Here is a 25078-nt window from a genome sequence, read left to right as displayed (position 1 = left end):
TTTGAGAAACCTCCCTACTGTTTTCCATAATGGTTGCACATTATGGAATTTACGTTCTTGCCAGCAGTGTGGAAGAGTTCCCTTCTCTTCACCTTCTCAACAATGGTTGTTATCTTTTGTCTTTTTGATAATAGCCAACCTAATAGGTTGTGAGGTGATATCTAATGGTGGTCTTAATTGCACGTTCCTGATAATTAATGATGTTGAGCATTTTTTATATACCTCTTGGCCATTTTTATGCCTTCATTTGAGAAACGACTATTCAGTTCCTTGGCCTATTTTTTAATCAGGTTATTTGGATGTTTTTGGTATGTGAGCTTCTTAAACATTTTGAATATTAACCCCTTATCAGATGTAGAGTTTGCAAATATTTCCTCCCATTCCATAGGCTTTCCCTTCACTCTATTTATTGTTTCTTTTGCTGTGCAGAAGCTTTTTAGTTTAATATAGCCCCATTTGTCTATTTTTGCTTTTGTTGCCTGTGCTTTTGGGGTCATATCCAAAAATTCCTTGCTCACAAGAGATGAAAAGCTTTCTCCTGGGTACTATGTTCACTCTTCGGGTGGCAGGATCAATAGATGCCCAAACCACAGCATCACACAATATGCTTTTGTAACAAACTTGGACGTGTATACCATGAACCTAATTTTTTAATGGTCTCAACAGGGTATGTAACATTGCAAAATTATTATGATGATGACATTTCACCTCGGTATAAAAAGAAATGTCTGTTGAAAATAAACCCCTTTTCAGAAAGAAAGAAAGAGAGAGAGGCAGGGAGGGAAGGAGGGAGGAAGGAAGGAAGGAAGGAAGGAAGGAAGGAAGGAAGGAAGGAAGGAAGGAACTTCTTGCCCAGACCAATGTCATGGTAATTTTCCCCTATGTTTTTTTCTATTTGTTTTACACTTCTTTCACCTTTTTATGACCGGTGCTTTGCCCAGTACCTGGCACATCAGGACTCAATAAACACTTGCTGAATGAGCAAATTCTATGGTTTTAAATTGTAGTTTAACATAATAAGTGACATATCCTGGAAGCACACCGTTCTCATGTGAAGGAACAAAGACTTCAAGAAAATGGGCTTTACCAGACTCAAGAGTTTGTGTTCTGCTCCCCCTGCAGCCCCTATCAGTGTGTGTCTCTCACAGCACAGAAGTACAAAGCGGAGTCGCTCACAAGGGCAGATGGTTTCTTCAGGTGGAAGGAGGTTTGGCTCTTGTTAAATTCAGCTTCAAAGCCATAGCTGCCTTTAACCAGGTTATCCCCTGTGATGTATTTCAGAAGGAACTGGAGGCCTCGGTTGGGGTATTGAACATACCAAAAAAGATAAGGGTTTCCAGAGACTGAATAGGTGCATTTCACAGTCAGAGGATTCCCTTCAGCAACGTTGACCTGATCTTCCGGCTGAGCCACTGACTGAGCTCTCAGCCCACCTGTAAATTAATCATGCTGCATCAGTGAAGCTGCTGGAGAGCATGTAAGTGGATCATGCGAGTGGAAAATGGGAAGGGGATATTACTCACTCAATGTGAAGAGCATCGCAAGCATCGAGATGGGTGCAGAGGCCATGGCTCCAGCTAAGCTCACGGCGGGCGGGATTGGGGGGGTCCTTTCCAGCCCACCTCTGCTGGAGATATGGCCCCACCCCAGAGAGTGGGCTCTTGAAGAGGAACCAGCAACCCTGTGTCAGCACAGGGCTTTTGGAAATGGCCCTTCCTCAGGGCACTGGTGCTTCCCGACACCGGTATCTTCTCTCTGTGGAGCACAATTTTGATCCAGCTCCTCAAAGCTCTGTGAGGAGCAAGACTGCCGCTCCGCCTATGCCCAGGACAGACCTTACACTGCATCGCCCCCTAGAGCCCACACGTAGGACCAGCGACTTTACTGTCAAGCAGCTGGTGCTTCCTGGCCTTATCCCTGGGCCAACCTTTGGATGGTTACACGCTCCATGAGGGACATAGGGAGCAAATTAGGGGTTCAAAGGAGAAGAAATAGAAGTTTGTGAATCAAAGTGGAAAAGATTCAGGCTGAGTGGATCAAGCTGTAAATGATTTGTGCTCTCTTAAGATAATGTAGAGACAGAAAGAAGGGAAATAGGATGGGAAAATGCACAGAAAAAGAAAGGAAAATATAGCTTTGCATCAAGAGGGAGAGAAAAATTTAAAGTGAGAGATAAGAAAAAGCAAAATAGGAGAAAAGAGTAAGGCAAGAGAAGATAAATGACAGGCGAAAACAGGAGCCTTGCTCTTCTCGTTAGAAGTAATTCAGAGCTGGCTTCTGTGTAAACCTCTTTGACCAAAAATAACTCAGAATTTTCTCCACGTTGGGCCTATTAGGAGCCCATCCCATAATGATCTTTAGGGCAAAAAGAAACTTGAATCTTCTCTTTAAACATTTTTAGAGTGAGAAAAGTACGAATAGGTGTTATAAATATTTTTGGAGCATTTGTCATATTAAACAGTACATATAAAACAAAAAAATGAAACTCTGAGAAGGGGTTGCAAAACAGGTACTTTCCACATGCAGAGCCTACTTAAAACAGACTTCAAATGAAGTACGTATTCAGCAAAAAATGTATGGTTAACGAAACTTGATGTATTATGATGGGGAAAAGGGGTTCATTGGAAAGGGATGGCATGCTAAAGTTTTATACTAAAAAAAGGCAACAATAGCAACTGAGTGATTCTTTGATAGATTTTAATTTTAATGTAAAAAGCATGTATCAATATAAAGAAGTTGTTCCTCTGATTTGCCTTCTGTTTCTTTTGAATAGTGTCCAAATAATGTTCACTATATATTCTGAGGAAAGGATGAAAAATCTCTTTGCTTTGAATCAGAAAAAAAGTGGAACATAATTCTTTCTAAAAGCTTTGCTAAAGATCTCATATTTAATCATTGAAAACTTAGCCATATAATAATGTTTTTCTTTGGAATTGGTAAACTGTCTTTAAACAATAATCTTCAAGTTCCAGAGAGACTTGTCATAAATGGAAACATATAGTGAATTTCTTCTCTTTCTTCTCTCTCTGCCTCAAGCCTAAAATGAGTGTTAGTGTTGTCTTTTTGAGGGTCCTGGCAATCGCCTCGAGAAAATCATTGAAAAAAAGCTTAACAAAAAGAATATTTTTAAGTGTATGTGCAAAATTTAGGGAAAACTACAAGGGAAGGTGAAGCACCTGGGGCTAATAACAGCCAGAAGATTTCACCACTCCTAGGCCCAAAGGGACGGGAGAAGATGAAATTACCCTAATCTCAGGACACCTGTAACTAATCACAGGCCAAAGGCGACATGACCCTTTACAGTCTAAATACCTCTTCTTGACCATATTCTGGGTAGACCCAACAGGAGCTGTAAACTTCAGTAGAGGAAAGAAAGGATCCTAAAATGCAAATATCTTGACCACTCTCTCCTGCTAATACCTCCCACTGGGGTAAACCCAACCAGATGCCAATGGACATGGGAGACCAGTCCACATAACGTATAGAAGTCAGCCTCCTGGGGTACAGAGCAGGATATAATAGACCTGAAGAGGAAAATGGAGAAATGTCCAGCCCTCTGATGCTGGAGTTTATTGCTGCCCTACAAATGCATATACGGGCATAGCTATACTGCATTTTGACAAACATAAAAAGACAAATAAAATAAGTTTAAAACAATAGTCTAATATAGACTTTAGTACAGAGCAGGATAGAATAGACCTGAAGAGGAAAACAGAGACTGTCCAGCCTCCTGACACTGGAGTTTATTGCTGCCCTATAAACGCATATATGGGCATATATCAACATATGATATGATCAACATAAAAAAGCAAATAAAATAAGTTTAACTAAAACAGTAGTCTAGTGTAGACTTCAGTGCCTTGATTATTTTTCCAATCCCTACTTCCTCTGACCTCTACAGATACAGCACACAAGATTATGCCTAGATCGTGCAAGTGGCTGAGATATTGTTTGCCTTCATCCATTTAATAATTAATGCCAAGAGCCTCAAGTGAACTAAATATTTAGGAGACTGATATTTTTAATTTTGTGCTAGAAATGGTTGATTGTTTAGTGGTCTCCCCCTAAAGGATACTTATGGAAGGAACTAACCATATTTATTAATTAAGCATGTTCAGCTATAGAAAGAGGAAAGTTTTCCTCTGAATTTATGTCGTGGTTAGAAATGGGTAGTCATTTGCAATGACAGAACTGTTGCAGAATCCTTAATCATCTTCTTCTTAATCTTCTTCTTCTTCTCGTCTTCTTCATCTTCATTTTCTCCTTCTCCTCCTCCTCCTCCTCCTTCTTATTCTTCCTCAAAACTAGGACAGTTTAGTCTTCGTGTTTGCTTCCAGTTAAAGAACTGCCTTTTAACTGCTCAGCAGATAGAGAAGGATTCAGGGACCTCCACATAATGCACTGCACACAAAGTAACCAGCAGCACCCAAAGAATTCCATGGGCCTAGACTGAAATTTCAAAATTGAACAACATAGCCTCAGTAGCTATTCAGCTTATCTGCTTTGATTTCTGAGATTAATTAAGAAATTATTCATCAAATGTCGCCGTGAGCATAACATTAAACCCTTTACATTCTTTGTCACATTTACTCTTCCTAAGATGCCCCATTTTAGAGATGAGGGGACCACAGTTGAGGAAAATTGAATAATTTGCTCATCATCCTTAAGAAAAAGAACAAAGATTTTTAACCCATATTTTACCGACTTCAAAGGCATATTCCTTTAAATCATATAGGGGGAATATCAATTTTGGTAATTTGCTTTCTATTAAAGACAATATAATATTGGAAAGCAGCTTCCTTATCATAATAAAATTACAGAATCAAGCTTGAATAAGTTAAATAGAACTTTAGAGGTCATATTGTCCATTGAGTGCATTATACCAAATGCCGATCCCACATGTATGTGCCACTGAACCAAAACAACTCCTGGATAATTAATTCTAAATCACCAGCACTCAAAGGTCATCCACCTTCTCCTGCACCTCTTGCTCACTGCTATGCTGGTACAGGTTTATGTACAGAAAGTTTGATGAAAACTTGACTCTTTCTTATCAATTTGCCATATGCACCCAGTCTGGACCACCTTTTAGCTATTCTGTCCAACTCTCCGATTTCTATTGAAAGAACCATGACATTCACAGAAAGTTGACATGAACTGTTTCTCCAAACCATAGTAAACTGGGTGTAGTGCTATCCATTTAGAGGTCAGTCAAATATGAGATGGGTGGGCCAATGGGGAATGTGCCCAAAATGCTGCAGGTAGATGTCTGTGCTCCCCTCAGGGTAGTTTCCTTTACTCCTTAATTTAACTACCACTGAAACATGCACATCACAACACAAGGGCAATTAGAGTAGCACAGAGCAGTGTCAAGGAGTATCAGTCTGAGACTCCAGATGCCTCACCAAGGCTGCCAATGCCTTTCTCAAGAAACTACTTGCAAACATCAGAACTCTTAGCTTGTCACGGTGGCACATGACTATAGTCACAGCCACTTGGGAGGCTGAGACAGGGCGGGGGTGGGGGCGGGATCCCTTGAGACCAGGAGTTCAAGGCAAGCCTGAGCAACATAACAAGACCTTGTTTCTTTAAAAAAAAAAAAAAAAAAAAATCAGAACTCTGTAAATATCATTGATTTCACAAGAGACAAGAAATGGCTCATGTAAACTAATGACAAATCCCTTTGCAAATATTAGACTCTGAAATGTACATTACATTTATTTTAGAAGTATCAAAGAAAAATCAGCACAAAATAAAGTTGTTAGAACAAAGAAATCAGTGCTTTTTCCATGAAACTGACAAAATATACAGTCCAACTAAGCAAATCATACTTCACATAAGTTAGGGAACTCTCAAAAGAAAGGTGGGGGCAAATCTGTAATTTGAACTTCTGCCCTCCTACCTCCAAACAAAGGAGATCAAGAATCAGTGGCCATCCATGTCTCAGTGGAATGAAAAGATTTGTGTAGTGTCTCTGGGTTTAATATATTTACCTTGCCTCACCTTCATCCAGTTTCCTCCTTCTTTCCTTGTAGTTTAAAATAGGTCAAGCCACATCTGAAGTGTTTTATTAAGTTCTAAGAATTCTATATTAAAAGAAATACAAGCCAACTGGAAACGGTTTAAAATGTACAACAAAGAGGGAAATCAAAATTGTAGCGCATATGTATGTGTGTGTATATATATATATATATAATGGTTAGGAAACTTACAAATATTTAATATGGAAAAAAACTGCTCTGTGGAAATGTTGTATCTGGTTCAAAATGTGTAAAGGAGAGATGTGAACTCTTTTAGATTCCCAAAGGTGTAGAAGCCACAGGAACACAGATGTTTCCTCAACATAAAGAATAATAGATTTTCAACTCACAGCCGCCTGGAGTTTGAATGGACAGTATGGGAGCAGCAAGAACCCTCCTGCAAGAAGCTGTTGTGAAAATATTGGCAATTCCCTTGATGTGATGCTGTTGAGAAAATCAAGCATCCCATGGGCAGATGGTCTAGATTGTTTTTTAGAACTTCTCTTCCTGAGATTCATGCATTTTTATTTTTAGTTTGGTGTGTGTCTATTGTAGAGAAGCTCTGAGGATGGGTGTTTTGTTTTGTTTTGTTTTGTTTTGTTTTGTTTTATGGGACAGATATAAAGAAAAAAAACATGTGATTGGCAAATTATGGGCACCCAATAAATAACTGTCAGATGATTGAAACTTTAAATAAGTACACAGAGCTAGCAGAAATCCATGTAATGAGAGGCCATCTTATACGCAATGATCTAAGAGCTCTGTTTCCGTTCATTCATCACAAATGGTTGTCCTTTGCAGAGAGGGTTCCTCATCCAGGAATCTACTTAAGAACTGCCTTGGCATTCTGACAATTCCAGGAGAAAACCCTGTGAATCCATTGATCCTCACAAATCACTTTTCAGTACCTGTTAAATGTAAGATACCATTTGCATTGAGAAATAAACAGAGGAACAAGACATAATCCTTGCCCTCCAGAAACTTACCATCCATTTTGGTAGATGAACACTTAGGGGAAGAACAGTTAACTATCTGAAGTAAAATGTGCAAGAATTATATCAATAGAAAAATCATTACAGATATTTCTTGCAAATGAGAGAAGAAAGAGTTTCACAAAGTTTAAGAAATTTAGCCAACTAGTTAAAGACCAAGTTAGTCTAGTTAGTTCATCTTGTAGAAGGGACACGGATGTGCTACACAAGATGATCCCCCTGCGTGCGAGAAGAAAATCACAACATTTAGTATTAAATTTATCTCAAACTTTCCTAATTTCTATTTTTGTTTGTTGCACACACGATCATAATCTATGAGCATATAAATATGCATATGTTGGAGGAGTAACATACTTTACTGATAATAGCACACAGTCAAACACTTTGGGGATCATTATACTATAGCAGCACAAACAAGGGAGAGAGTCCTCAGCTGAAGAAGTTATAGAGGTTGGGCTACAATCTGAATAAAGGGAGAAAGAGGGCATTTCAGGCAGAGAAAATAATCTGATACAACTCATACAGGAGATAATGCCAACAGGTCTTAAAGGCTAGAGAATAAACTTATTTGGTGACCCAAGGGGATAGGGGATGTAGCAGCAGAAAGTAAAGCAGCAAAGTTTCATTGGGTTCATAATATGACAGCTTTACTAAGCAGAGGGTACTTCTATTTAGATTTGCTGTTTTTCTTTTTGTTTCTTTCTTATATATAAAATTAAAAAGCCTGAAGGATTTTATTTATGGAATAACAAAATCAAGGATACATTTTGAGATAATCTGGTAAAAGAATGTAGAACAGCAGGACAGAAAATGGCTATAGAAGATTATGGAAAAATTCAGTTAAATACTAGAACAAAGATCATGCAAAAGATGTCACAGATGAATTTGTGAGAGTTTATGTGTAGCTTTTAAATCTTCTATTTTATTGTTCAGGTTTTCAAAAATGAGTCCAAAGGGAATACTATTCATCCATGAGAGTCCTATTGACAGTGTCTTCCCCTTATGTGGTTTAAGACAGTATTATCCCTTTTACCAAAATCATCATCATTTCATACATTTCCAAGAAAGCAAAGTTTTAAATCATCTGTAAGTATAATTTCAATACACAAAAGTAGATGCTGAAGGAGGGAAAAAAACTTTTTTCATAACTATATTTAATTTCTATTTAAAGCTATAGTCTACCAGGTATCAGAAACCAAATCTCAGTCAAATCAGAGTTTTCCTACCTTTTCCTGAGATTACGCCTAATTTCTAGGCAATTTATGTAGTTCCAAGGTATCACAGGGAAAATAAATGTAAACTGGACCTTGAGATCATTATCTATCTACACAAGCATCTGCAAAATATTTTAATTCACATCTGACTTTCAATCTCCCCACACAGTTTATTGCTGTGTTCTGGTCCCAGCTATATCCATGCTATCTCAAACCTCTGAAAAATACTACATTTTTTATATCTTCTCCCTGTGCCTCTTCACATTGTCTGCCCTCTGTGCATGTCTGTCTCTGTGTTCAGATCTCCCTTTTTTATAAGGACGCCAGTCATTATTGGCTTAAGGTTCATCCTTTTGACTTCACTTTAATTTTATCACCACTATAAAGATTCTATTTCCAAATAAGTTTGCATTCTGAGGTGCTGACGGCTAGGACTTACCCGTGTCACCTACTCAAAAAAAAATCCTTTTGCGGGGCAAGGGGTAGGGAACATAATTCAACCCATAACACTAATCCTAGGAAGAAAATGAAAGCAACACAGCCTTCCAAATACCCCCCATTCTCTGTGGCGCCATGATTTTCAGAAGGTACAGAAGATTACCGTAGGTGGTTTTCATGGCCCCGTCAAAAAAAAAAAAAAGAAAAGAAAACTAGCAGTGAAGTCAGAGGACGTAGGATACAGTAGCAAGGCATGGCAAGTCTTTCAGATTTCTCATGGAGCCAGTGACAGACACAGTTACCTTTCGATTCATATATATGAACTCCCAGGATTGGGAGTAAAAAAAAAAAATTTATTCTCCTGTGGATGTTTCTGTCCTTGTCACCACTGAACTGGGAGCTTCATAATGTTATAACTTTAAGAGTGGGACTTCATGGCTGCTCTCTTCGTTGTAAGAAAAATGCATCAACTGCATTTTCCTCTTATTTCACTCTCTTTTTCCATTTTCCCCTTTGGATAATAATGCCTTTAGTGTTCTTCATGTAAGCTGGAAAAAATCTGGTAGAAGACTAGTTGTTGACAGTTTGAATTATAGAATCAAAACACCAGGGTAAAAGGTAGGGTTTTCAGTATACCACATGTACAGACTCCTCTGTGAACTGGAAAGAACTTCCTAATGTAACCAAAGGGAATTTTCTGTCTCTGGTCTCTCTTGCCAAAGCAATGAGGTCACACCTGTGTTCATGATTTATTGAGCCACTACAGTGCACACAGAACTATGCAGGACAACCTGAAAGAAGGATCACATATGCTTCCTCTTCTCAAGAATTTCATTTGATTAAAAAGTAAGATTAGGCCAGGCGTGGTGGCTCACGCCTGTAATCCCAACACTGTGGGAGGCTGAGGCGGGCAGATCACTTGAGATCAGGAATTCGAGACCAGCCTGGCCAACGTGGTTAAACCCTGTCTCTACTAAAAATACAAATTAGCTGGGCATGGTGGCATGTGCCTGTAATCCCAGCTACTTGGGAGGCTGATGCAGGAGAATCGCTTGAAGCCGGGAGGCGGAGGTTGCAGTGAGCCCAGATTGCGCCACTGCCCTCCAGCCTGGGTGACAAGAGCGAGACTCCATCTTAGAAAAAATAAATAAATAAAATTTAAAAAATAAGATTAACACACTTTTAAGCAAGCAACAACCCAAAATATAATATGCCTAAAGAAGTAATACAAGCACAAACATACCAATTTACACTTATATCCAATGGAAATATTTGGGTGTTATTAAAAATTTGCATTTAAGAATCAATCTTATGACATTTTGGCAAAGTTTCATGACAATTGATATTACTAAAATACCTTTTTTCTTCTGTCATCAGCAATCTGCTCTTCACTTTTTTTCTTTTTTTTTTTTTAACAGGGTCTCACTCTGATGCCCTGGCTGGAGTGCAGTGGTGCCATCTTGGCTCACTACAACCTCTGCCACCCGGGCTCAAGCCATCCTCCTGCCTCAGCCTCCCAAGTAGCTGGGACTGCAGGTGCACACCACTCCTAGGTAATTTTTGGTATTTTGAGTACCGACCAGGCTGGTGTCAAACTCATGAGCTCAAGCGATCCACCTGCCTTAGCCTCTCAAAGTGCTGGGATTATAGGCATGATCCACCACACCTGGCCACTTTTATTTTTAATTGAGACAGGGTTTTGCTGTTACCCAGGCTGGAGTGCAATGGTGCCCTCATGGCTCACTGCAGCCTTAACCTCCCTGGCTCAATCAATCCTCCCACCTTAGCCTCCCAAGTAGCTGAGACTACAGGCACATGCCAACACACCAGGCTAATTTTTCCTATTTTTTGTAAAGACAGGGTCTCACTATGTTGACTAGGCTGGTCTCGAACTCCTGGGCTCAAGGGATCCTCTCACCTCCGCCTCCCAAATGTTGGGATTACAGGTATAACCCATCGTGCCCATCTTGCCCTTCACTTTTTATTCCAAATGTCAGCATTTGCTGAAAGTCTACTGTGTAAGCAAGCAATAGCACTGTACAGTTCACTTCCTGAAGCCCTTCTCTGTTACTAAAATTCTACCTAAAAGGAAGTAGAGAATAGTGGTTAAAGCCTCAAGACCTGGTAATATGGTTTGGCTGTGTGTCCCCATCCACATCTCACCTTGAATTGTAATAATCCCCACATGTTGTGGGAGGGACCCGGTGGGAGGTAATTGAATCATGGAGATGGCATCCCCCATGCTGTTCTCATGATAGTGAATGAGTTCTTGCGAGATCTGATGGTTTTATACGTGTCTGGCACTTCCCCTGCTGGCACTTCTCCTTCCTGCTGCCCTGTGAAGAAGGTGCCTTTCTTCCCCTTTGCCTTCCATCATGATTGTAAGTATCCTGAGACCTTCCCAGCCATGCAGAACTGTAAGTCAATTAAACCTCTTTTCTTTATAAATTACCCAGTCTTGGGTATTTCTTTATTGCAGCGTGAGAATGGAGTAATACACCTGGGGTCCAAAATCTGAAATTCACAGATCAACCCTGGCTGAGCAAAACAATCACCAGCAGAGCTTTATGGAAAATATAGACTTCTGGGTCCCACCCCTGCAAACTCTGATTGAGTTTATCTAGAATATGGCCCCCCAAGAAAACAAATCCAATTTTCACAAAACTTCCGATCTAGGAGGATAAAATATATTAAGAACCACTGGGCTACCCTAAGGCATTGGTCTCTAAAGTGGGAGGGACACATCTGGGGTGGGAGGACCAAGCTAATTAACAGGAGTGTGGGAAGAATGCATTGCAATGAGTACAAATACTTCCATTTGCATTTGTTTTTAGTTTAAATATTATGAAGGAGATTCAGTTTGACTAATATTTCATATACTCATTGACTGGCACCCTCAACAGGACTGTATGCTAGATTATAAGCAAAGTATACTGAGGCATGGATTGAGATTTCAAATGCAGGGCTGTAGGTATCAGCCACTCATTTATTCCTTCCTTTCTCACTTCTTATTACATTACCCAATGTTAACTAAACCATCCTTTACAAATTGACATGTTTTGAAAATATTGCTGCAAAAAGACTGAAGTTAGCAGATAGTATTTAAAAGGTAAGCACAGACAGCAATAAGAAAATGAAAGAGTTGACTGGCCTTGGTGGCTCACACCTATAATCCCAGTGCTTTGGGAGGTCAAGGCAGGAGGATCACTGGAGGCCAGAAGTTCAAGGCCGCAGTGAGCTATGATCATGCCACTGCACTCCAGCCTGTCTGAATTTTTAAAAAAGAGAAGAAAATGGAAGAGTGGACATGCCTCTTACTACTATCACAAGTTCATCATCAGCCATTTTATGAGGGAAAAACAAAAATAATCTAATCAGATCTCAAGAAAATGAGTCAAAAGTGTTTCAGATATCAGGAAGACTATTTGAAATAATCACCCTTTAAAAACATATTTTCTGGTCCAGGTGCATTGGCTCACACCTGTAATCCCAACACTTTTGGAGGCCAAAGCAGGAGAATCACTTGAAGCCAGGAGTTTGAGACCAGTCTGGATGACACAGAGAGAACTCGTGTCTACAAAAAGGAGGAAAATTCACTAGGCATGGTGGTACATGCCTATAGTCTCACCTAGTCAGAAGGCTGAGTCCCAGCTACCCTTGAGCCCTGGAGTTTGAGGTTACAATGAGCTATGCTCATGCCACCGCACTCCAACTTGTATGACAGAGCAAGACTGTGTCTCAAAAAAAAATTAAAAGCATATTTTTATAGACATTTGTTAATATATAGTATGTCTGGACTCAATTTTTTTTCCTAATAGCAGTACCAAATGAAAAAGCTTGGGTAATACTGAATTAAGGAGGAAAAAGTTATTGCTCATCTCTGTTTTGCCTCCTGCAAAGGCTGTGATCTCTGTTTCTGTTCAGCTCTTCATGGGTTCCCTGCCTCTGTGTCCTCCACAGCACAGTAGTAAACAGCAGCATCTGCCTCCCGCACCTGGAGGATGAGCAGCGATGAAGAGAACCGTTCATAGGTCATGTTGTATCGTCCCTGCTGAGAAGGCTTTGAGCCTTTAACAAGGAGTCTTGGTGCACATCCCGGGAAGTGAAGGTACCAGAAGAAGTTGTAAGCATTGGACACAGAGTGATTACAGAAGATTTCCACCACAGCTCCCTCTGAAGATGCCACTGTGGAAGGCTGAAACACTTGGTCCTTGCTTTCTGCAACTACAGAAAACAAAAAGGGCTGTCACTTTAATAGTACTATTTGGCTTGTTGATTGCCCCTTAGGTACAGTGAATGTTAGATCTGACTTCTCTTGTTTTTGTATTAAAAATGAGTCCAAATTTTAAAACAATTTCATACACTTTTACAAAACCAAATAGTGAAGGAGGCTACTCACCCTTCCAGAGAGAGTTGAGGAGAAGCCCTAGCCACACCGCCCCCAGAGTGCTCTGCAAAGCCATGGCCAAAATGCAGTTGGTCTCACCAGAATGCTTATTTAAGACTACCTGTTTTGCATTTTTTCCTTTGTGTCAGTGACATCATCAGCCAGAATCTACAACCTTTAGAAGGGTTGCTACAGTTGTGAGGCTGCTTAGTAATGACGTCACTGTGCTTTGTTCTGAGAAATTAATCTTAAAAGGGAATGCATCCTTTATAAGGTCACTGTGGTTGTGCAAATTTAGTATTCAAGGAGCTTCCTTTCTTCTCTAAGGGTATTAGAAGGAGTCACATAATTAATGGGGCACTGCTTCATCACACAAATTAAAGTGATATAGTCACACAAAAAGTATGCTAAGTCCCGTCACATATGACATGATGACCTGCTAATGTGTTTAAAATAATTAGCGTGAGATATTAGTAGCTGCAGTAGATAAGAAATGAATTTTTTAAGGTACAAAAGTTACTGTGTAAATATACTGATCAAAATTTGATTCCTTGCATTCAAGGTGATCTTTGGAACAAATATGGAAAAAAAAATCAGTTGTAATTTTTCTGTAAACAAAAGAAACAAAAACTGCATTTGGAGATCATCTCTTTTGGTATGGTACCTATCCTCATTTTGCAACCTGACACTGTTATTGTTATTAATATAGGGCTTACTACAAAGTTCTATCTCCAGCTTTTATTATACTCTACAGGTTTCCTTGGGATTTTACTTGAAAAAGAAGAGGAAACACAAGTGTGTAGCAATTCAGTGTTTATACAGTAGGGTTTTTATGTAACCTCCGCCACCTAGCGGACTACATGGGAACTCATGAAAAATAATTTCTCCATGCACCCTCTAAGACAAGTGTTCACAGCTTCTCATATCTTCAAGAGATTTCATGTCCTTTGCTTTTGTTCAAATTTTTCATCCTTATTCAATTTCCATAGGAATATGAAGGCTATCCAGAGGAAATAACTGCCTTTTGGAAAAGCCTTCTGAATACTAAAAGATGTTCTTCATTCAGGTGAGTGGCTATTAAACACATACTTTCATGGAGTAACACACTTCTTTTTCCATCTTCAGATGGTTGCTTTATGCATCCCCTTTCCTTTCTTTAATAGTCTTCTAGGTGAGAGGAAATCCATTTCTTTCCTAATCTTTTCTCTTTTCTTAATGACAGAGTCCTTAATAATGATAAGATGAGCCGGGAGCAGTGGGTCAAGCCTGTAATCCCAGCATTTTGGGGGGCCAAGGTAAGTGGATTGCCTGAGGTCAGGATTTCGAGACCAGCCTGGCCAACATGGTGAAACCCTGTCTCTACTAAAAATATATAAATTACCTGGGCATGGTGGCAGTCTCCTGTGATCCCAGCTACTCGGGAGGCTGAGGCAGGAGAATCACTTGAACCCGGGAGGCAGAGGTTGCAGTGAGCCGAGATTGCGCCACTTCACTCCAACCTGGACAACAGAGCAAGACTCCATCTAAAAATAAAAATAATAATAATGATAAGATGATCATTTAGGTCCAACAGAAACCTTTTATTTATATATACGACCTCAAAAAGCTTCCAAATAAAATACAGAATTCAAAAATGCCTCTAAAATGAGGATAGAAAAATCAAAGGGAAGTGGACAGATATATTTAGTGGAAGGACTAAGATCGCTACTATGATTAATTTGAGCTCTGAAATTTCTGACAACCAAAACACAGAGGGGAACACAAAAGGAATACAATTTGACAAGTAAGCTGATTAAGGCTTTAAGCAGCTTCTTACTGAAGCCAATTAGTACAGAGCTACAGATAACTTAAAACTCTTTTTAGATACTGGTTATGTACTTTTGGTTCAAAGTAACTACTGCACAGTATTTCAGCATGCACCACACTTACTTAGGCAATCCCCTAGTGATGGAATTATAGGCTGCCTGTAACTCCTGCAAACACAGCAATTAACATTTTTTTTTTACATTTCACCTATTAACTATGTGAGAATTTCTCTAGGATATGTCCCCAGCAAGGATTGTTCAATCATAGTACATACACATACTCAATTTCACGACGGTAATGATTGAAAGTAGCTACAGCCACTTACACTTCTACGAGCAGTGCATGAGCATTCCAGTCTTTCCATAACCTCAACAACACTTAGTATTATAAAACTGTCTACTTTTACCAATCTACTGAGTATGGAATGTCAACTTGCATTACCCTGATTATTAGTCTATTGAGCCATTTGTATTTCCCTTTCCCATGTTATCCATATACATGATTTCTCACTTTAAAATTAGACCTCTAGTTTTTCTCAGTAAATCATAAGAGTTTCTCATATATTAATTTTTTGCTGTATCCAAAATCACAAGTATCTTTTTCTAATATGGTCCCAGTCTATTAGCTTTGTCTATGGTGTCCTTTTTTTTTAATGGAAATCCTTAATTTTGAAGGAATCAACATTATCATTTTTTTCACCTTATTGGGCTTTAGGGATTTTGATTTAGAAATCATTCTTCACCCCAAAGCCACAAATACATTTTCCCACACTGTGTTTATTATCTTTATAGATTTGTTTTTTACATTTAGGTTTTAATTCATCTAAAATTTACATCTGTAGAAGACCCAACTACTTTATTTTTCTCCATAGAGCAGGACAGTTTTAATAGCACAATCTACTAAATAATCCACCATTCCCTAAAGATTTGTGGCATCATCGTTATCATATTAGACTCACCTATGAACTTGATTCACAAATGTACCTATTGAACTTCCTGAGTTTTATATTCATCTTGTTGTTTCTCTGCAATACTACTATACTATTTTTACTATCTTAGCTTTAGCAAGATCCTCTTTTTGTCAGTCAAATATTCAGATGTAACTTAATAAAATCTACTAAGCTAATTTAAGTAGAAAAGAAAGATATTAAGATATATTAAATAGATCACAGACTCTCCAGCAGAGATAGGCAGTGAGAATTCAATGCTATACAGCCAAAAACAATGTTTAAACACAGCACAGGGAATTCTCTAATCAATCAAATCTCACACTACTCACCCTAACACTACAAATTCACTCAACCAACAACAAGAACACTCACTACTGAATATACAAAGCCCTTCCATTGCTGCCTAGAAAGTGCTAGGCATAGTCCCTACTGTATTAGCTATTCATTCATTGCTATAAAGAAATACCTGAGACTGGATAACTTATAAAGAAAAGAGGTTTGACTGGCTCACAGTTCTGCAGGCTTTACAGGAAGTATGGTGTTGGCATCTGATCAGCTTCTGGGGAGGCCTCAAGAAGCTTACAGTCATGGTAGAAGGCAAAGAAGCAGCATGCATGTAACATGGCGAAAGAAGGAGCAAATTGGGGTTGGAAAGTGTCACACACTTTTAAATAACCAGACCTCACAAGAGCTCATTATCACAAAGACAGCACTAAGCCATGAGGGATCTGCTGCCATGATCCAAACACATCCCATCAGGCCCCACCTCCAGCACTGGGGATTAAATTTCAACATTTGAGTGGGGAGAAATATCCAAACGATATCATCTGATGTATACACTAAAGAATATTTCTGCAAACATACTACTGGAGGAAAATAACAAAGAGTAGCACTGATAGTGGTTATCCCTGTCTTGCTTCTGACCAAAAAGAGAATGCAGCTACAATGTCTCCATTATTGAAGCTTCCTTTGTAGCCTAATACATGCCCAATTTTTTAGAATGTCCATTAGTGCTGGAAAAGAGAGTGTATTTTCTGTACATCTCACAAAGCTCCTTTTGAACATATTTCAATCCACTTCTATCTCTAAAATTCTGTCTCTACAGGGGGCTCAAAATCAGTATGAGGAGACAAGTGGAGAACAGATGGTATGCCTTCCTCCTCCAATATTTTCTCATCTCTTCACCTTAGCCTTTTTACTGATCCAAATTTTCTCACCTCTCTCCAAGTTACAAAAAAAAATAGGTCTCATCTATGAAAGGACAAAAATTAATTCAGGTGGAGAGAGACAAAGAAAGAAAGAAGGAGGATGGAGATCTTGGTGGTTTCACAAGCAGCAGCCAGCCAAAATGTCATTGGATAGCTTGAAAAGACATTTTGAAATGATCTATATGCAACTTACCTGGGACTTTAATATTTATAACAAAATATAATTCTAATTCATTTGAATTCTTCCAAAGTTCTAAGAGAACTTCATTGGTTTTGGACAATGATTAGAGAAGAAAATAACACCAAGTAGGATCAAAGAAGAAAGAATAGGTTTAATATTACAGGGAGAGGCATCTGGGGATAGGGTGGGAGATAAGTAAAGGAAAAAATGGTAAAACCCTCCAAGATGGCAAAAAGTAACATACAACAAAAATGGGACTTTATCTGCCAATTATTCAAATAGACTCCAATAAAGTCTATTGAAAAATAATTACTTGCTGTAACTGGATTTTGTGGGAAATGATGAAGAGACTGTGCTCTGTGATGAAGATTGATTGAGGCATGACAGAATAGCATGAGTGAAGTCAGTGAGAATAGCAGCATAACAATCAAAAACCACCTCTTCACAAAGGCAATGAAAACACTGGCCAAAAAAATTGTCAAAATAACTTATTCTGGCCGAGCACAGTGGCTCATGCCTATAAACCCTGCACTTTGGGAGGCTGAGGCAGGCAGATCACTTAAGGTCAGGAATTTGGGACCAGCCTCGCAACATGGTGAAACCCTGTCTCTACTAAAAATACAAAATTTAGCCGGGCGTGGTGGCACACGCCTGTAATTTCAGCTACTCAGGAGGCTGAGGCATGAGAATCACCTGAACCCAGGAGATAGAGTTTGCAGTGAGCTGAGATCGTGCCACTGCACTCCAGCCTGGGTGACAGAGTGAGACTCTATCTCAAAAACAATGAATAAATAAATAAATATTTTTTTTCTGAACTCTGGAAATTAACAAAAGACTTGCAATAATTCAAGAAGCATTTACTCATGAAAACTGGCTGTATCTAGATAAGAACAGTGAGCAGCAACTTTGTGGTGTTTTAATTTGTCCTGTTCTCGTCTTCTTCTCCCCAGCTCTCCAATAGCCTTGAAAACCAACAGCACTGCCATAATGGTGAGAAACAGCAGCCTTGAAGCTACTAGACAGGGCAAAGCTGGTTTGGAGCTCCCCAAAAACACTATTCTCAGAGCACTGTCATTATTTGACCTGTCTGGCATATTCCTGCAACCTCCATTGGCAAGACTTGCCTGTATTTGATCTTATTCAGAACTTGCTCATTGCAAACAACCTTTTTGGAGGGGAGGAGGTGGAAAACAATAAGCACCAATTATTTAACATTGCCACTGCCTGAGGAGATGATAATGGTGGAACAAACAAGAAACTGACCAATACACTTAAAGGAAAAGCTGAATAACGAAATGTCAATAGGGGGCTCTGAAAAACTCCAACATATTCCTGAAACTCTAGAAAGCCATGCAGAAGCACACAGAAGGCTGTATACACGCCAAAGGCCACTTGAAGACCTAGGAAAGATCTAAGAAGTACCTAATATCTCACCTAAGACTGACCTTGAAGCTCTGTGAGAGCAAGAAGTGAAGGCTAAGGCAGAGTTGCAAACTGCCAGGCTAAATATTGAAGGTCTGGTGAAACACATGCACAAAGCCCATCAGTGAAGGATAAGAGACCTACTGATTCCAGACATTTAAGGAAATCTCTATCCAATCATTAGCTGACCATTAAGCTAAACAAGCAGAGATTTTAATGGCCACACATGACAAAGAATACAGGTTTTACAAATGCATTCAGGAAAGTCAGTAAACAAACTGATAGCAAACACAATAACAAGCAGCAGCAACAAACCCCGAGGGGGTGAGTGACATTTCCAGAGTTGCCATATTATTTAAAATGTTAAATATCTCCCAAAAAATGATAAAATTTTAAAGATAAATAAATAAAATGTTTCAAGGCAAAAGTAAAATAAAATGTCCATAACAAGTTTTCCATGAAAAAAAAAGACAAAACATGCAAAGAAACAAGAAGATATGGTCTACAGAAAAGTCAAACAAAGAAAAGGAAAGTTTGAGGAAGCTAGATATTGAAATTATGAGGCAAAGACTTTAAATCAGCTATTTCAAACATGTTCAAAGAACTTTAAAAAATCACAAATAAGGAACTAAGAGACTATAAGAATTATGGCTCACTAACTATAGAATATCAATGAAGAGATAGAAATTAGAACAAAAGAACCAAAAGGAAAAAATAATAAATTTAAAAGGATTAAAACTATATAATTTTCTTCTACCATAATGAAATTAAACTAAAAGTTAAAAAGGAAATTTGGGAAATTCACAAATATGTGAAAATTAAACAACACACTCCTAAATAAACAATGAATCAAAGAAGAAATCATAAGGGAAATATGAAAATAATTTGAGATTAAAGGAAACAAAAACACACCCAAAAAATCCATAACAAAACTTATGATATGCAGCTAAAGCAGTGCTTAAAGGGAAATTTATAAACACCAAATTATAAAAAGAAAAAATATTAAATTAATCATCTGTTTACCTTAAACTAGAAATAAAGGAACAAACTAAACCTAAAGCAAGAAGAAGGAAGGAAATAATAAAGACTAGAGTGGAAATAAATGAAATAGAGATTATAAAAGCAATAGAGAAAAACAAATTAAACCAAAAATGTCTTCTTTGAAAAGATCAAGAAAATTGACAAACTTTTTGTTATGCTAAATTGACCAAGAAAAAAAAAAAGAGAAAACACTGAAATGACTAAAATCAGGAATAGAAACATTACAAATTTTACAGAAATAAAAATGATTATAAGGGAATGCTATGAACAACAATGGCATATGCCAACAAATTGGATAACCTAGATGAGAAAGACAAATGCCTAGAAAGACGTAAACTACCAGAACTGACTCAAGAAGAAATAGAAAATCCGAACAGATCTATAACAAGATCAATTAAGTAAACAAAAAGTATTCCACAAAGTTAAATCCAGGCCCAGGAAGCTTCACTAGTGAATTGCATCAAATGTTTAAAGAATTAGCCCCAATCCTTCACAAACTCTTCCAAAAAATGAAAGAGGTGACAATACTTCCCATTTTGCAATTATAAGGGAACAATGCTGAAAACTTTCATAATATTGCTCAAGCCTAATTTGCCTAATACTTCCCAGACTACATCTTTTTATTCTTCTTTCTTGACTTTTCTCTCTTTTCAGACCTTCAATTTCTGCCTTTTCTCAATCAGTCCTACCTGTATCTTTGGTAGTCATTTCAAAGAAAAATTTTAGGGAAGTAGGTGAGCCATTTATTTTTAAATAAACATCTCATCTGACATGGTTTTGCCTATAGTCATGCAGGTGTGCACTGTCCAACCCCAGGAGAACTATTCACATCACAGACCCATAGATTTTAATTTCCATTACAATTTGTAGGCAAATGGTAGTAAAGCAACTTTATCTCATAAAAATCAGTAAATGCAAACAGGCTACAACTAACTGTAACTCACAAAGAATGCTATAATGACCCTAACTCTGACATCCCTAGTGAGTTAGGACTGCAAAGGAAACTGATGAACTCCTAAGAGAAATTTTGTTTTATTTACTCAAGAGATCTTATTATTACACAAGTCAAAATCTAACTGCTTTTCACACAAAACCTGCCTCTCTTTCTGACTTTCAATTTCAGTATTTGTTTCTAACATTCACCTAGAGTTTAAATCAGCTAGCTCTCTCCACCCTCTAATCTATTCTATACAGTTGAGTAAGATTAACTTGCCTCTGAGATATAACAAGTGTCACATTTAAGGGAGGTGATGATGTTTGCAGACTGCAAATAGGATGTGGTGCCACCAGGTGTGCAAAAGTAGCTTAGTATAGCCTCTTGAGCTAACCTGCTTGCTCTAATGGTAAGCCATTTCTACTTTTGCTCCAGGAATCTATTCTAAAGCAACATGTACAAACTCTACAAAAATCTTCTAATCTTCTGTCATTTCATGTTTAGTGTTTCTGAAATTAAAGCAGTAATTCTGAGTTCCTTTTTCATCTTTCTTCCAGAATTCACCTCTGAATGCTAAACAGTTTCCTCCTGAGTATGACTAGACTGTATGATTCTCTGCCTCCTAGATATGCTCTGTGTGCATAGCTTGGTTCATTGACCACATTAATTCATTTACATGTTAATCACTTCAAAACCACAACAGTTTTAATAAGGTCCTCTGGGGAAACCCAGCTTCCTTTGTTAACTACTCTTCTTACCACAGAGAAGCATTTAGAGACCAAAGAGTAATCAGTGAGCCTAAGAGTTCTAATGAATCACCAGAGGCATCCCTTGGTCTTATCTATGATAATGGCATGAGCCAGAGAAACACAGGAGATTAATTAAAAAGTTGCATTTTCCTCTAGGTCTTCTTAAGAGGCAGTCTCTATTGACCTGTAACTTGTCAAAAGTAACAAAACTCTAGTCTTCTTGCCTCCAGAACTTGTGTGTGTTTCATTACAAACACTCAACCTCTTGAGTGCCATTCAACCCAGCAGAGCAGAAGCGAATTAGTACCCTGTAACCCTATTCCTGCCTGCACAGCTTCCTTCATCATTAAGAGAAAACACCGTGTGGAAAGACTTTTAATCTAGATTATAGTCACCTTCTTCACTAAGGCCCTGTGAGTGGTAGTTAGCCCATACAATTCATTTATTATTTTCATTTCCCACTGAATTGGTCTGTTGTCTTAGGCCCAATTGGAGATGCAGTTCAAGATAATAAATTATTATCCAAGAAATCTGAAGTTGTAAGAAGTCTTAGAGTTGACCTTTACAGGAGAGAAAGCAAACAGTCCAGAAGGTTACACAACTAATCTAAACTCATAAAGTTTGTGATTAACCAAGATTTACAGCTTGAATCCTAGTCACCTAGTAAAATGTTTTTCCAAGAGAAATTACAAGTCTCTATCACCTGAAGACAAGCCTGGAAAAAAGTTAAGGGATTGCTTCTATTAAATTGCAGTTAGAAAAATATGATTCCCCCTATCATTTCTTCCTCTGAAATTTTGAAATCTCTGATAGTTTCCCTTTCCTCTCCATTCTCATTGCCTTGTTTTTATTAACTCATGATCCTAATGCTACCATAACCTCCTTACTTTGGCATCCATAATTCAGTGATTACTATTTCTAGTTTATCCTTCGCACCACGACTAAATAATCTTTCTAAAAGGAGATCATGTCACAACTGATTTAATAAATGTAAACTATATAATCTTAATAATGTCATTGTTCTTCTTAATTACCCCTGCTATATTGAGTGAAGTGAGGGGCCTATTTAGATTTTTTGCCTCATTTATCCATTTAATAACTTCAAAATACTTGGTTTAAATTTGCCTACTTTATTGATTTATACTCTCCTTTTTATCACATATTAGATTCTTAGGCATAGCAGCATTTATTTCTGTGCTATTGTTGTTGTTCCATGCACCTTTAAGTTAGTTCCCTATGCTTTACTTTGTTTTGACAACCATGTGCTTATACATTGGAAAAACAAACTGTGATATAGCCATGCAATGGAATGCTACTCAGGAATAAAGGTGAGTGAACCATTGGTAAAAGACATGACATAAAAGAATCTCAAAATGATTATGCTGAGTAAAAAAAAATAAAAAATAGACCAAAAGAAGTATATATTGTTCATTTACATAAAATTCTAGAAATTCTGGAAATTTTAAACTAATCTACAGTGACAGAAAGTGCATTCATGTTTGCTTGGGAAAGGAAGACGGGGGCAAAAAGAGAAAAACAGGATCATGAGAGGGCACAAAAAAACTTTTGTGATTGATGGTTATGTTAATCAATTTGATTGTGGTGATGGCGTCATGGGTGTATACATATGTCACAATTTATCAAACTGTGTACTTTAAATATATTCAATTTATTGCATGATAGCTATACCCTAAAAAGGCCATTATGGGGGGGGAAAGGCTTTCTAAAATAACCATTATGAGGTCACTGGTGACCTTCAAGGGAACAGGTTCCATAAGATAGTAAGTGTGGAAACCCAAGACATAAAATTACATAAAATTATGTAATTATTACATAAAAAATACTTCATATAATTTCAGTTTTCTTAAATTTATTGAGACTTGTTTTTGAGGCCTATCATATGGCCTCTCCTGGACAATGCTCCATGTACTGATAAATAGAATGTATATTCTGCAGTTGTTGGGTAGAATATTCTGTAAATACCTGTTAAGCCCATTTATTCTAGGACATAGCTTAAATGCATTTTTCTTTGTTGATTTTCTGTCTTGATAACCTGTCTAGTGCTGTCAGTGAAGGATTGAAGTCCCCTGCTGTTACTGTGTTGTTGTCTGTCTCATCTTTTAGGTCTAGTAGTAACTGTTTCATAAATTTGGGAGCTCCAGTGTTAGGTGCATATATATTTAGGATTGTGATATTTTCCTATTGGACAATTCTTTCATCTTTATATAATGTCCCTCTTTGTCTTTTTTAACTGCTGTTGCTTTAAAGTTTTTTATTTGATATAAGAATAGCTACTCCTGCTTTAGCATCATTTGCATGGAATATCTTTTTCCACCCCTTTACCTTAAGCTTATGTGAGTCTTTTTGTGTCACGTGAGTGTCTTGAAGACAGTAGATACTTGGCTGGTGAATTTTTATCCATTCTGCCATTCTGCATCTTTTAAGCGGAACACTTAGGCCATTTACATTCAATGTTAGTATTGAGATATAAGGTACTATTCTACTCATCATGCCATTTGTTGCATGAATACCTTGGTTTTTTATTGTGTTTTTGTTTTATAGGTCCTGTAAGATTTATGCTTTAAAGAGGTTCTATTTTGGTGTATTTCAAGGATTCGTTTCAAGATTTAGAGGTCCTTTTAGCAGTTCTTGTAGTGCTGGCTTGGTAGTGGTAAACTCTTTCAGCATTTATTTGTCTGAAAAAGACTGTATCTTTCCTTTATTTATGAAAGTTAGTTTCACTGGATACAAAAATCCTTTGCTGATAATTGTTTTGTTTAAGGACCCTGAAGATAGGGCCCCAATCTCTTCTAGCTTGTAGGGTTTCTGCGAGAAATCTATTATTAATCTGATAGGTTTTCCTTTATAGGTTACCTGGTGCTTTTGCCTCACAACTCTTAAGATTCTTTCCTTCATCTTAACTTTACATAATGTGATGCCTATGTGCCTGGAGATAATCTTTTTTGCAATAAATTTAGCAGGTGTTCTTTGAGCTTCTTGTATTTGGATGTCTAGATCTCTAGGAAGGCTGTAGAAGTTTTTCTTGATTATTCACTCAAATATGTTTTCCAAACTTTTGATTTCTCTTCTTCCTCACGAACACCAATTATTCTTAGGTTTGGTCATGTAATATAATCCCAGACTTCTTGGAGGCTTTGTTAAATTTTTTTTATTCTTTTTTCTTTGTCTTTGTTGGATTGTGTTAATTTGAAAGCCTTGTCTTTGAGTTCCAAAGCTTTTTCCTCTGCCTGTTCAACTCCATTGCTGAGACTTTCCAGTGCATTTTGCATTTCTCTAAGTGTGCCTTTTCGTTTCCAGAAGTTGTGATTGTTCTTTATTTATGTTATCTATTTCACTGAATATTTTCTCTTTCATATCTTATATCTTTTTTTCATTTCACTAAGTTGGACCTCACCTTTCTCTGGCGCCTCCTTGATTAGCTTAATAATCAACCTTCTGAATTATTTTTCTGGCAATTCAGGGATTTCATCTTGGTTTGGATCCATTGCTAGTGATCCAGTGTGATCTTTTGGGGGTGTTAACCTTGTTTTTGTCGTATTACCAGAATTGTTTTTCTGGTTCCTTCTCATTTGGGTAGACTATGTCAGAGAGAAAATCTGGAGCTCAAGGGCTGATATTCAGATTTATTTGTCCCATGGTATGCTCCCTTGATGTGTGCTATCTCCCTTCCCATGGGGATGTCACTTCCTGGGAACCAAACTGTAGTGATCATTATT

At 37.9% G+C, this 25078-nt stretch overlaps 2 gene segments (V, D, J or C) and 1 further gene, besides 10 other annotated features; all 3 read right to left on the bottom strand.

Annotated features, from left to right (window-relative positions):
* Positions 1–25078, bottom strand: part of TRA (T cell receptor alpha locus) — a 930229-nt gene that overhangs the window by 826675 nt on the left and 78476 nt on the right.
* Positions 1098–1106: a recombination feature (nonamer).
* Positions 1107–1129: a recombination feature (spacer).
* Positions 1137–1569, bottom strand: TRAV3 (T cell receptor alpha variable 3). The segment is given in 2 exon segments: positions 1137–1433; positions 1524–1569. Coding segments are annotated over 2 exon segments (343 nt in total), but the record flags the coding sequence as incomplete, so codon positions are not given.
* Positions 1423–1433: a sequence feature (TRAV3 leader sequence).
* Positions 1524–1569: a sequence feature (TRAV3 leader sequence).
* Positions 12576–12584: a recombination feature (nonamer).
* Positions 12585–12607: a recombination feature (spacer).
* On the bottom strand, positions 12615–13127 carry TRAV2 (T cell receptor alpha variable 2). The segment is given in 2 exon segments: positions 12615–12888; positions 13064–13127. Coding segments are annotated over 2 exon segments (338 nt in total), but the record flags the coding sequence as incomplete, so codon positions are not given.
* Positions 12878–12888: a sequence feature (TRAV2 leader sequence).
* Positions 13064–13127: a sequence feature (TRAV2 leader sequence).
* Positions 16873–17042: an enhancer, noted in NCBI's record as "experimental_33791 CRE fragment used in MPRA reporter constructs". NCBI's record gives its function as "activates a minimal promoter by MPRAs in K562 erythroleukemia cells, with activity observed for both the introgressed and non-introgressed 14:22176724 variant alleles {active_cell/tissue: K562}" and the evidence as "EXISTENCE:reporter gene assay evidence [ECO:0000049][PMID:34662402]".
* Positions 20384–22406: an enhancer, noted in NCBI's record as "VISTA enhancer hs1705". NCBI's record gives its function as "enhancer in: forebrain[6/7] | facial mesenchyme[7/7]" and the evidence as "EXISTENCE:transgenic organism evidence [ECO:0001131][PMID:17130149]".

This window comes from Homo sapiens, chromosome 14 (assembly GCF_000001405.40).
Source record: "Homo sapiens chromosome 14, GRCh38.p14 Primary Assembly".
NCBI classification, from domain to species: Eukaryota; Metazoa; Chordata; class Mammalia; order Primates; family Hominidae; genus Homo; species Homo sapiens.
This window is presented reverse-complemented; position numbering and strand designations above follow the sequence as displayed.